The 14504-nt window shown below is 36.0% G+C and overlaps 2 long non-coding RNA genes across 2 annotated transcripts in view; one reads left to right on the forward strand and one right to left on the reverse strand.

Moving 5' to 3' along the window:
• The window catches only part of LOC105371957 (uncharacterized), a 29740-nt gene that overhangs the window by 9635 nt on the left and 5601 nt on the right, over positions 1-14504 (forward strand). The window contains exons 2-3 of the long non-coding RNA XR_935089.3: positions 7095-7233; positions 8887-9264. This is a non-coding gene — a long non-coding RNA (uncharacterized LOC105371957). The remainder of the gene's footprint in view (positions 1-7094; positions 7234-8886; positions 9265-14504) is intronic.
• The window catches only part of LOC105371956 (uncharacterized), a 92178-nt gene continuing 82472 nt past the window's right edge, over positions 4799-14504 (reverse strand). The window contains exon 3 of the long non-coding RNA XR_935087.3: positions 4799-5746. This is a non-coding gene — a long non-coding RNA (uncharacterized LOC105371956). The remainder of the gene's footprint in view (positions 5747-14504) is intronic.

Below are 14504 nucleotides of genomic sequence, written 5' to 3' on the forward strand. Positions count from 1 at the left end.
TATCTTGACAAAATCTCTGATTGTTTCTCTGCCTTTCACCAGTAATCCTCTGCATATGCCCTTCATTAAACTCTCAGCCTTTTGACTTGCATCTATAATCAGCAACACCCTAAAAGAAAAGTGGCTAGATGGTATCAGCCCACCTCTGCATGTGGATTCTACTCTCCCAAGATCTTGTGCCCTGAAGTCTTGTTGTAGAAGCTCTCTGATGCCTTCAAAGAAATGTTATTGTTTGTACTTTCTTTGGTTTTTCTAGATTATCTCAGCAGGACTTCCACAAACAACTCCATCAGAGCCAGAAATGGAAATGCCAAATAATGGCTTTTCAAATTGCAGAATTATCCCATCATTGCTTTTTAAACTTACAGAAGTCTTCTGAGTTTATGGATAATGATTTACAATATTAAAAGTGGTCATGAATCATGGACATGCTTTTCTTTAGACTTAACATGATTTTGTTCCTTTTGGATGCTAAACATTTTCATTGCAGCCACTTTTTCAAGAGAATTCAAGATTATGTTCACATGTTACAAATCAGCTGTGGGAGAAGTAAAATCCAAGCAATGGCATTTTAAAAATGTTTTTAATGTCATTATATCAGTGAAAAATCAACAAAGTGATAGTTTTGCATTACAATATGTAAGCAGTTGAGGACCTCTTTTTTTTCCTCTCTTTTATGGGTTATTTAAACATTTAAAACACTAAATGCATCTCCATCGAGTATCAAATTTTTACCATGTGACTGATAAGACAGGAGCTGATTCAGGGTTATCATAGCCCAAATTCATATCTCTTAGAAATCAGAAGTAAATGGGCCATATTTCTTGAAAACTTGATCATCTTTCTTGAGAATCTCCATTAACACACCCTTACCTAATAGCTCTGCATTCTTTGATGCTTACATTTATATTTTTCTTTTCATTTCCTCTTTTGACAAAGAAAATGGCTTTTATTAAGATAAAAGTTCTCTGCATCAAAGTTTAGAAGCAAAAAAGAAGCAATCTAGAGGATCACTTAACAAGAACATGTCAATTTTTTTTGAAATAATCTATATAAAATTGTCATAAATGTCAAGAAAGTTGAACTTTGATCCTTTCAAAGAAGACTTTCAGCATTTAAATGAAATCTTAACTTAATAAATACAATTTAATTTTCTCTATTAATATAATTGTTCAATGTCCATAACATAATTTTGTGTGTTATATTAAAAATTATAAATATTATGAATGTTCTGAGTATAGAAAGAGCACAGACTCTAAAAAATAAAAAAGGAAATAAGGTTCAAGGGATTGGACTGGTAATGGAAGATTTTTTGAAAGATCTCTTAGTTTACCCTATCATTTTTAAAATTGATGAGTAAAGATAAGTCATTTTCACACTTCAAGGTAACTGAAAATGAATCATCAACTAAAAGCAGAACAGCAAAGATTTTCCTTTCATCATGACTTCAATCACTTAAGTTTTCCTGCCCATATTTATCCTACTGAGACCCCAAAGAACTGAGAGAGGCTCTCTTCAGGTCAAGTACAGCTCTGCAACCAAGTAATATACACACAAAGCAAGAATAATCTATCAGTCTCATTTGGCATTCAAGTCTATCATCAAAATAGCATAAACAAGTAGCTCTTTTAAGTCTATCTCCCAGGAAGATTCCCTGAGGCCATAATATGAAGTAGTTCTAATTCTGTGTTTATTAGGTAGTTGACCTACCATTCTCTCTATTGCTTTATCTACAAAAATCATGAGTATTGAGAACAAATAATTGCATTATATTTACCATGTTTCAAAATGTTTTTAAAATGACTGTGATTCCAAAAAAATATGATTTTAAATTTGACTTAATTCTTTTCAATTTATATTCCATTGTGTTATTTCTAAACCAGCACTATGAGATGAATCAATATTATTTCACATGGAATCTCATGAATTATAGAATATGTAAGCTGAAAACTGCTCAGTATAGGAAAACAAAATTTAACACAATTATTTTAATTGTATATAATGCCTTTTCATATTCATTCTTACATTATAATGTATATTTTGAGTTCTAATTTCTTTTACTTAGTAATTTATCCTGATTGCTTCCACTGTCATCATAATCATCATTTCTAGTGAACAGATAACTCCATTGACATAGGAGTTTCCTACCACTGAACATTAATATTATATATAAATTTTTATAAATATTGTTGCTGTGGTTATTTTAATATATGAAGTTTCTCTCAAAACCTATTATGTGCCGCTCCCAAAGAATTAGTCTTTAGTTCTCTTCTCTTCTCCATTTATATTTATTCCCTTGATGATCTCATCTCATCTCATGGCTTTTCATGCCAAATATGTGCCAATAACTCCCAAATTTGGATCACCAGCCAAAGAGCTCTCTCGGCCAAGCTCCACACTTTTATATCCAACTGCCTACTCAAATCTCCATTTAGATATCTAAAAAAAAAAAAAAAGAAAATCTCAAACCCAGAAATGTCCCAAACAGAACTCTTGGTTACCCCTTGAAAAACCTCCACATGCAACTTATTTTAATCTCGACTGATACAAAATTATCTTAGTTGTTTGGGCAAAAATTTTGGAGCTAGCCTTGACTTCTTTATTTTATATCCCATTTCTGATCTGACTGAAAATCCTATTTGTTCTACATTTAAAACCTTTTTAAAATGCAATTCTTTTTACCATCTTCATTTTTATCATCCTAGTCTTAACCACCATCATCTTTTTTCTGTATAACAGCATAGTTTCCTGGATGACACTGTAGTTTCTGGTACTAATTTCCTACAGCTGCTGTAACAAATTACCATGAACTTGATGTCTTAGAAGAACAGAATTCTATTCTCTTATGGTTTTGAGCCAAGAGTCCAAAATCAATATCACTGAGCCAAAATTAAGCTATCAGCAGGACTGAGAAATTATTTCCTTTGGATAAAATCTTTATTTATATAATGAGGGGTCCAAAACACTTAAATATTTTTATGGGCTCTGAAAGATACAGCTACATTGCTCTCCAATATGTTCATATCATGTTATATTTTTATCAATATGTTTATCTGTCTCATCATCATCTCACTAGAATTGAGTTTATATTTTCTCTCTTTAAAACAAATTGCAAATGCATTGGATCAAGATGCAGATCTACTTCCAAGACATATACAGAGCATCTAATATTATGATGGATTATGCTATGGATTCAGGAGGGAGGTATAAAATAATAAGATTTCTTAAAGGATCATCTATGCCTTCCACAAGGTCACAATTTATTAGGAGTAGAAAGAACATATAAAATGGGTGACTAAGTGACATTGCAAAGTGTGAAGGAAGATCATCAAAACATATCATAGAGCGTACTATGACTGCTTGTGGTAACTCTTTTATATTGGAATTTGATACACTTAGATCAAGTTCAAATGAGAAAAGAGGTCCTTCTTATTTCATTTCTACAGGGTATTTAATTATCCTATTAATTTCCTGACATAAGATAGCAATGACCCTTCAGGAAACCTTTCTTTAATTCCTGAAGTTATGATTAAATAACATAATGTGTAGCTACTGCACTTTTATTCAAAAGGAAAATACTTGTCTATTTTTTTTTTTGAGACGGAGTCTCGCTCTGTCGCCCAGGCTGGAGTGCAGTGGCGCGATCTCGGCTCACTGCAAGCACCGCCTCCCGGGTTCACGCCATTCTCCTGCCTTAGCCTCCCAAGTAGCTGGGACTACAGGCGCCCGCCACCACGCCCGGCTAATTTTTTGTATTTTTAGTAGAGACGGGGTTTCACCGTTTTAGCCGGGATGGTCTCGATCTCCTGACCTCGTGATCCGCCCGCCTCGGCCTCCCAAAGTGCTGGGATTACAGGCGTGAGCCACCGCGCCCGGCCTACTTGTCTATTTTTTAACTGCAAAGTCTTATGCACTGCTTCTTCAGTGTTTCAATTTAAACAAAAACAAATCTATAGTTTGGATAATCATAGGAGGTCCCAATCAGACTTATTGAGCTCTGCCGTGACTCCAGAACTTACCGGGAGAAAGCCCTATCTGCAAGTGGCAGGGAGGGCTCATGAGGGTGATGATTTCCTGAAGAACTGAACCACGTCAAGAACATCCGGGGAATTAAAAATCAAATCCTGCAATGGAAACAATTATCTTGAAGTCCTGACAGCAGTGACCTAGAGAATAGGCCTTGGTTCAAGACCATAATTGCACAAAGGGTTATGATCTCTTTGATGATGTGAGACCGAAAAGTAAATCTGAAATTTACTACAGGAAATTCCTAAGTCTAGTAAATGATGTTTTATCTAAGATTGGCCAGAGCCACTTTTTAAAAGACAATTTTTGAGATTTTTACTTTAATAAAAACATGGGGCATTTTAAAACAGCTGTCTCCTACCGAGAAATCTGCTACTCCATCAATTTCTAAATTTCACAGTTATAAATAAGAAGCCTGAAAGTATGCCCTCCTTATTGATTATCCCTCAAAACCTAACACATGTGAAAAATAATGTAAGCTTTTGAGGTATACATGGTACTAGCTAAAGATGTAAAAGTATCCTGGGGATAAGTCTTCAAATTTGAGTTAGAAAGCTTGAATTTGTACCCACAATACTCATGCTTTGTATAACCCTGAAAATATTTAATTCCTTTTAAAAAAAAGGTATAAATAGTATCTACTTCAGTATTTATTATGACTATTAAGCGAGATAGGCTTTGTAAAGAGTCATTCATAGATGAGGAACTACCATTATTGACAGTTTATTCATTTATTTAGTTAGTTTATGTAACTGAATAAATATGTAGGAGCCACATGACAAATTATTTTATTTGTGGTAAGATTCTTTCAGTATCAAAAGACACAAAATCCAATTGGGGCTTTAGTAGAAATAAGGGAACATATTGTCTGATCTGGTCTGGGAGGAGAGAGAGAAATGGCTTCCTAGTGATTTAATCAGGGCGTTAAACTACACCACACACTCACAGGCTCCAACTTGGCTGGAACCCCGGGGTAGGCTTCCTGCTCAGCCCAGTCATCCCAGGTAGGAAGATGCTCAGCACTTCCAGCCTCACTTCATCATCCGCCCAATCTAGGAGATGCATACATACAATCCAGGTTGAAGTACACATTGATCGATTCATTGGCTGCAAAAGCCTTTTTTCCCTCAAAGCCCAACAAAAAAGCTTCCCGTGGCCTCTAATGGGATTATGTGCTTCCCATGGGGAGAAAAACCATTGAGACCATGGAGGAGTGGAAACCTTGATTGTCATAAGCCCCTGGGAATGGGGATGAGAGCCCACTCAAGTCGCATGGATGAGCCTGAAGAAGAGTTGATCTGCACCTCCAAAGTGAGCTCTGGATGCAATCATCAAGAATGAATACTAGAAGGCAAGACAGCCCATGTTTGTATCATCAGGTACATCTGATGATAGCCATCCTTACTGGCCCCTAAGAAAATATGGCAGTGCCTAGAATGTCCCGGGATTCCTGCAGCCACCTGCAGCCCATTATCACCCTGAGGTGAATCTTGCAGCTGATTTTCATGTCACCTTCAGTTCTGCTCAGTTCTCGATGCTCCTGTGGTCTTGTTTCCATATCCGTTCCACACAATTCTGGGGTTAATCACCACTCTGAAGCTCCTTTTCTTCATATGTTAAAGCAAACACTTTCCTTCTTGAATACTCATCATTTTTTTAATCTCTTCTCTGACTAATTGTAGACCAGAAGCATCAATGATATTTAATCGTCCTGGCAAAACTGGAAAACAAGTAAAAAGAAAACTACGTATACCAATACCCTTTTACATACAATTTAAGGAAAAAGATTAAGTTGCCGTCTATTGACGTCACTCGCTGCAACACACTGCTTGTAGCCCCACACTCATCGCCTGGTTCCTGCCTCTATATATTTTTTGTGTGCTGTTTCATTGCCTCAGACTCCATTCCCACCTTTTTTAACCTGGCTGAATGTTTGTGTTTCTTCCACGCTCAGTACAGGCTCCAGAAGTTCAAGGTAGCTTCTCTGGAACTCATCTCTTTGTCCCCTCTTCCCTGGTGATACCTCTCTCAGCACTTACCATATTATGTTGATATTTGGTATAGGGGGCTAGTCTCTACCACTGGTCTACACATTCCTTGAGAGCAGGAATTGTCATATGTATCCCATGGCATAGTGATTGACCATTAACACACAGACAATAAATGTTGTCTGTTGAAGTATACATTGATTGATTCATTGGCTGTCACCATTTTAGCCTGTATACTGTTTAAAATTGTAGTTACATTCTAACTGGGTTTAGCATTGCAAATTACATCTGTAATCCACCAATGTGTGATAAATAGGTGCTGGTGATGTTTTCTGCTTAGAAAACATATTCGTGAGTGACTTACAGAAAGAAGATTTAGTAATAAACATAGGTTTTTAGTAGTCAGCACTACCTTTAAGCATATTATGGAAAAGAAGAAAATAATGAGATAGAAACAGAAGCAGCCAGAGAAGGAGGAAATAAGGAACAGAGGGAGAAAAAACAAGCAAGAGAATAATATGAGAGAGGAGACAAAAAACTAAAATGGGATTACTTGAGAAACTGATTTTTAGAATGGTTGTAAACATTTTTAAGCTGTTTACTTGGAAGTAAAACTAAAATGAAATTATCTCAACAATGACAAATGAGAACCATAAATTATCTGCATTTTCAACAGTCAAAACCTCTTCCTGGGTGTCTGTAAATGATTTGTATGCCGTATGGCAACCCTGCTCCATCGGGTACAATTATATGATTGTTTATTGAATAATTGCTCTCCTTGTCAAATGTTTGATTGAATATTTGCCTGCTCCCTGTAATATTTTCACTGAGTAATTGTCTGCTGTGGGTAATACCTTCACTCAGTAATTGCTTGTTCTGAATAATATTTTCACTGAATCATTTCCCATTCAGCATATTTTATTGAATGATTTTCTTGTTGTGAGTCATGTTACTGTAAGCTCACTGAGAATTACTTGCTGAATTGCATATTTCCTTTGTAGACCTGAGTCCTTGCCCCGTACCTTCTCCAGGCTGTTGAGAGATTATATAACAACTTTCTTTTTCTAAATTATTTTCTAGTAGTGCTGAAGTTTGAAACTGAATGCTATGCTCAAAGTCAAGTAAAATGAAAGTTCTGCTTTTAAAGGGGGAAGAAACTTACAGGAGACAAATGGGGAAAGCAAACGATTCTAAGTGGGATAGGTGTAGAACATCATAGGTAAGCTGTACCCAAAACTGATTTGGAGGTTTCTAGAATCAATTTTAATGAGACTGTAATATTTCCCTATTCAACAAAATGCTAGGGGTTGATGGCTTATAAATGGTTATATATGTTAAAGTAGCAGACTGTCGTAGAAAGATAAGAGAATTTGAAATTGAAAGACATAGATTCCATTTATGGATCTGTCATTTACTCTTCTAAACTTCCGTATCCTTATCTTTAAAATGGATATAAAAGTATTTTCTTTCTTTATTCATTGAGCTAGTTAAGATAAAATATGTAAAATTCTTCAGATATGATAATGTCCCCAGCCATAGCTATTATGGCATTATATATTACCCTCTACAGGCCTTTATCTTAGCATGTATTATATTAAATTATCTCTTTATGGGTTAATATCCTGTGGGTTCCCATCCATGGATTCAACCAACTGTGGATCAAAAATATTTTTAAGAATTATCTGTACTGAACATATACATTTTTTCCTGTCATTATTTCTTAAACAATATAGTATAACAACGAATTACATTGCATTAGGTGTTATCAGTAATCTAGATATGTATACCAGATGATGTGCACAGGTTTTAGGCAAATACTATGCCATATTATAGAAGGAAGTTGAATATCTGTGGATTTTGGTATCCACAGGAGGTCCTGGAACCAATCCACATGGATTGACAGCTATAAATGTAGACAAGAAATGATAAAAGAGGCAAAACAATTCATATGTGTCAATCACCATTGCCCTTCATTTTCTTTTCTTTTCTTTTCTTTTCATTTGAGGGGGGTCGGGGGGACAGAGTTTCACTCTTGCTGCCCAGGCTGGAGTGCAATGGTGCGATCTCGGCTCACTGCAACCTCCACCTCCTGGGTTCAAACAATTCTCCAGCCTCAGCCTCCCAAGTAGCTGGGATTACAGGCGCCTGCCACCACGGCCGCCTCATTTTTTTTGTATTTTTATTAGAGACGGAGTTTTGCCATGTTGGCCAGGCTGGTCTCAAACTCCTTACGTCAGGTCAGCTGCCTGCCTCAGCCTCCCAAAGTGCTGGAATTACAGGTGTAAGCCACCGTGCCGGCCTTCATTTTATTTTCTATTTCCTTTCCTATATCCCTTTCTTGGGAGTTTTTGTCCATATTTGCTCTGGAATAATTTGGCACTGATTATTATTACGGTTTCACAATTAATGACCCAGCGGATTGCAAAAACTGTAGAAAAATAGAGAAGCTGCATTGTAATGAAGTTCACCATATTCTGAGGTATAAACAGAAAACTAGGAGAACATGGAACTACCTACAGAATCAAAGGTATAATATCATAAGGTTGTTCAGTACAACAAAATAATGATAGTAACATTTAGTTCTTTCCACAATACAGATATTTTTTCTCAAAGTAAAGAGAGACAAGAAGAAATTAAGGAGCTAATAGCCTCTAATTAGCAACCTATATACTAATAAATATGTAGTATATATTACATATATAATCTTTGAGTACCAATAAATCTAATGACTCTAAATTAAATGTTTTTTCCACTAAACTCTGTTTTGTCCTGTCAGTTATATTGCATTTCTAGTTAATATTCAACTATATAGATATTTTTCCTTATAGATACTATCTTTGGAATTTATGAAACATATTCTTTTATCTTGTAGCTATGTATGGGTTCAAGATTATATGAGTGGAATATATTATCATGGATTCTTCTTCTTTTTTTTTTTTTTTTTTTTTTTTTTTTTTGAGACGGAGTCTCGCTCTGTCGCCCAGGCTGGAGTGCAGTGGTGCAATCTCGGTTCACTGCAACCTCTGCCGCCTGGGTTCAAGCTATTCTCCTGCCTCAGCCTCCTGAGTAGCTGAGACTACAGGTGCGCGCCACCATGCCCAGCTAATTTTTTTTTTATTTTTAGTAGAGATGAACTTTCACCATGTTGGCCAGGATGGTCTCGATCTCTTGACCTCATGATCTGCCTGCCTCAGCCTCCCAAAGTGCTGGGATTATAGGCATGAGCCACCGTGCCCGGCCGATTCTCCCTGTAAGTAGATTTCAATATAGATAATCCCACAAAGATAATTATATATTGTAATGGTATAGAGACCCAAACATATCTTCAAGAGAGCTGTAAATTCTCTAGCTTAGGTATATTCAATTGATGCTTGAGCTTATTCAAAGTGAAGCCTCATCCTAGAGCTCAAAATTTGATTGCACTAGTACCCATGAGTACTATTTACCAAATACTTCTGACATTCCTTTAGGGAAGATAGTAGTGTTGCACTTCTTCTTGGAGATAGGTGTGACCATTTGACTTCCTCTGGCTAATAAAATGGGAATGGAGGTAACATGTCATTTCTGGCTGAAAGTGTTAAGAGCCAGTACCAGATCCAGTGCCAGGTAAGATAGAAGGCACACTTCACCCATCTCTCACACTTGATGCAACTATAAAACCTGAACAGAAGTCGTAGAGCAGCTAGTTGAGGTCTTTGAAAAGCAAATTTCAGCAGATACGTTGGGGAAGAATATAAGAATGTGAAGTGAACTAGTTTAAATCATCCTGAAATTATTTGAACTACTTTGAAGTGCTGTTTGAACTACTTTGAAGCCCACTAAACTAGCAACGGGCCTCCTTTTTTTTTTTTTCTTCAACATCACCCAGCCCAGACTTGATAGAAGTAAGCACTGTGGCAAAGAGAGAGCCCCAGGAACAGTCCTCTAATTCTGGCCTGAGGAGCTAAAATGGGAACTTTTAACAGTCAGAGAGAACATGGGAATCCCTCCTTTTATTCCTCACTCGTCTTCCATTCTTTTATCCTCCATCCCCCAGGCAATCCCACTGTGGGGGTGGCAGTGGCCAGTGATGGGAGCTGGCAGCAGCCAAATCTCTGAGGGAGGGGGACCTTCCTCTCCAGTTGGAAGAGCTGAGACTAAAAAAACATGGGGCCAACTCGTTGCTTTTTTTCCTTCTCTGTCCTTTAGTGGTTTGGTCCCAGAGTAGCCCAAACACAGAAGTGTTCAGCAAAGTGGGGCAACTAAAGCCCCAAGATTTGGGCCAGAATTCTGAAATGGGGAAACCCAGGGAGCCAGAAAATGCTGGGAGATAGCAGACAGGGAAGAGTTTGATCCCATAAAAGCAATCCCATAACCTTTTCTATAAACTCCAGGTCTCCTCTAAGAGCCTCACACCCATGGATCTGATACTAATTCACATACCAAAGACTGTGAACTGAAGAGATAGACTACCACCACTGAGTCACAGACTATCCCTTGCATAGGACATGGCCTGATACACCTGAAGTGCAGTATAAAGGCTTTGAAACTGAACTGATACTGGCACTACAGCCTACGGGAGGAAAATTGGAACTTACGGCCTGAACCTAACAATTTTCCTAATCTTAAAAAATATCAACATTCTCCAGTGGATTTAAACAAGACATATTCAAAATGTCCAGCATGCAATCCAGAATTACTCAACTTACAAAGAACATCAAAAATTCGTAAGAAAAAAGACCATCAGCAGATGTCAAGGCCAAGATGACACTGATGTTGGAATTACCTGACAAAGACTTTAAGGTGATTTTTGTTAAAATGCTTGGAGAGAAATCATGAAAATTTTTGAAACAAATTTTAAAATAGAAATTCTCAGCAAATAAATAAAGATATTAAGAAGAGCTAGTGCTCAATTCACTAGGCTTTCCCTCTGCCGTGGAGACCAGCAATGTTCTAGCCCAAGTGATAAATAAAGGACGACATGGAGCAGAATACTCAACTCACCTGTGATAGACGTGTAATATTAATGAGGAGTAAACCTGGTTGTCTTAAACCACTGAAATGCATGTGTTGCTCCTTACAGCAGCATAACCTAACCTATCCTGACTGATATAACTGAATACTCTGAATTTTATGATCTAATAAAACTTTACATATTGGTATCAGGGAAGTGAACATTTTGGACCAAAACTAGTATTTACTCCATGTTAAATCTCCAGATAAATTCTATAACTCTTCCAAGATAAGCACCTAATTGCTGATTAAGCCCTCTTCTTAAGAGACACAGATAGTATAGTTCATCTAGCTTTTTTAATTATATAGGTTTCTCTTTTTGTGATGTCTACAGTAAAAAGAAACCAGAAATTGTTTGGATTTCTAACTTAATTAATAATAACAATATGCCAAGCAAGATTACTCTGAATCTGTAAAGAAACAATTATGCAATATTATACATTTAAAATTAATTGAGTTAATTACAGTTTTCATGTAATTAGTGCATTCCCTTCTTACCAGATAAAATCGAACTTGTATATTATACTTTAAATCTGTTAATCAATCTCTACTGTTATGCATTCACTCAAAATATACACTTAAAACGGTGGTCATCACTGGGATAAAGAATAAAAAATGGCATAAAACAAAATATACTCTGTACAATTTCCCAGTTCTATAAACAATACTCTATAAAATGAAGTGGAGTTTTAACCTAATTGAATTTATATAATGCTTAATAAATCAATGTTTGACCTTACTTTGTTTGTCAAGAGCTCAGATTAAGTTAAAAAGACTTGGACGAACATTTAACCCCATCACCCATGTCTATTTATTAAAATACTTTTTCTAAAAATCTTGAAAACTCAGTGTCCAAGAATTGCTATAATCAGCTTATAAAATATCTAGAATGATTACTAGAAATGCAGTACCTATTGTAAGGCTCATAATAACCAGATTGGCAATATGTTTGACAAATTAATGGCCTAATTTTTCATTCCTTTGTTATTTATTTTAATAACCTGATTAGCACAATGATGTTGACTCATGAATTACTTAAACCAAAATGGTACAATGTAATTGTCATCCAGCATCAATAACTCCATTTTCCCTCTCGGGCAGATTAGGCTGTATTTATGCATTCTCCCTCACAGTGAAGGAAGAGGAATTGTTCTTTCTCTCCCTTCCACCTCCTCTAATAATGCTCCTCAATACGTATTCCCACGAGATTTACATGGAAATATTAACCATGAGAAATCTTGTGGGCTTTTTAAAAGTTCTGGCTCAATTATAATCATGAGAGACAATGGGAAGGAAAATAGAGTTGTTTGGGACATTATTCACTTACTGTCTCTGAATTGTTTGAGCCAGACGTATATAATCATCACATCTCTCAATTGCCTTTATTTTAATCCATATACCTTAAATCAGATGAAACAAGTTTTCTTTTAAAAAATCCACATTATAATATTCTGCAGTAAACACGCCATAATTTTTCAAAGAGTTTTATCAATGTGAGTTACAAAAGTCACATGCTGTTTGGAGTTTGCAATGGGATATGGTCAGTAGTCAGATTAGTCACCATGATGTCCTTTCTGTGATTTTTGGTCTACAAGTAAGTATTGTTCAAAAAGATGTGAAAAGCTTAAGAGACTCCTTACAGAGAAAATAGATTGGGGCAAAAAGCATGGAGTTAGTCAAACAGCAAGAAGGTTTTTAGGGTTGAAATGAACTAGTCATATGGAAATACGTCTGAGACTAGAGACAAGGTTCTAAGACTAGGTCTGTCCCTTTCAGCCACATGCCCAAAACAGTCAGGGAGGACAGGAGAAGTTCCTTGCTAAGAAGAAGATTAGAAGGACACAGTAATGCTATCAAAATTACCTCGAAATGGAGGTAAACAGCTTAAATGAAAAAATAGTAGACTATTGGTAACAGAGGTGGGAGGGGTAATTTCCACCGACTTGAAAAGCCAAATCTCTGGAATTTAGATGAGTCTATATGAAAGAAGAAGGTTCAAGTGAGTTAGGTAGAAGCATTCTACTAAAACCGAGGGCGACAGACAAGGAAGGTGTGTGTATGTTCACAGAAAGAACAAAACTCTCTAAGCCAGATGTTCAAAACAACCAATCCATTTAAAAATGGCTATTTTTGCTGGGTTGATTTTTCCTCTCTGGTAAATTCTGAATTTTGTTTACAGTATTAGCATTTTTTCAAAAGTTTTTCACTGTGCTTTTTGAATATTTGAATGCTTTTTTGTTTACTTTTCAGACAGTTTTTAAAATGTATTCTCCACCAATTATGCATGCTCTGTTCATTTAGCAATGCCTTCATGAATTTATATTTTTCTTGTCAGATTTTACTTAGCGTTTGCAACTACTGGTTGATGTATTAGTAACTTTTCTGTATCCTGGAGTGCTTTTACTATTTATAAAAGATTAATTTTTAAAATTTTCTTTTTACATTTTCATTTGAAAGTCACTTTCATCCAGTGATGCCAGTTTTAACTATTTAGCAGAGTTTCTTATTTTTTACCACCTTTTTAGTGCGCTTTATATTTAAGCAGCATTCTTCATTAAAAAAATTTATAAATGGGAGTTGAACAATGAGAACACATGGACACGGGGAGGGGAACAACACACACTGGGGCCTATTGGGGGGTGGGGTTGGGGAAGGAAGAGCTTTGGGGAAAGAGCTAATGCATGCTGGGCTTAATACCCAGGTGATGGGTTGATAGGTGCAGCAAACCACCATGGCACACGTTTACCTTTGTAACAAACCTGCACATCCTGCACATGTACCCCGAAACTTAAAATTAAAATTAAAATTAATTTTAAAAAACTTGTCACTTGTAATGAGGAAAATGGTTATTTTTATTGGGTTTTTCTAAAAGGGAGTAATATTTTAAATACTACTATTTTATATGAGAATAATATAATGTAAAATAAAATGATGAGAATATGTCTAGATCATTAAAACTCTTACAATCAGAGGCATCATTAGATCTTTTCCTCCTGTTTACACTAATACATTGTCAATACTATTTCCAAAATATGACAAAGAATTCTTCATCAAAATGAACAAGAAAGCATAGACTGAAAGAATGCAAACTGAGTGATTTAAAATACATTTATTGTTTCTATCAATTAAATTTTTGCAAATCTACTCTTTAACCTTCCAGCAATTTTCTCAGACTGCTATTGTCCCATAATCAGAAAGGTCTATACAGGGTTCAATGATAAAAATTGCAGGAAAAAAATCTCACAAGATTGCCACACTGAAACCACATTGGTGAGGAATAAAAGACATTATACGGGCTTTGTACCAGAGAGCCTTGGATTCTACATCTTCTCTGTTGCACATTAGCTACCTGTTCTTGAATAAATTGTTTCTTCCTCCATAAATGAAAGAAAAGGATCTTTGTTAATACTGAATAGATAGCATATGTAAAATACTAACACACAGGATCCTATAAATGCTGATTCCTTTTCTTCTCTCACTCTCAAGAAATACATATAT

The sequence above is a fragment of the Homo sapiens genome, chromosome 18 (assembly GCF_000001405.40).
Source record: "Homo sapiens chromosome 18, GRCh38.p14 Primary Assembly".
NCBI classification, from domain to species: Eukaryota; Metazoa; Chordata; class Mammalia; order Primates; family Hominidae; genus Homo; species Homo sapiens.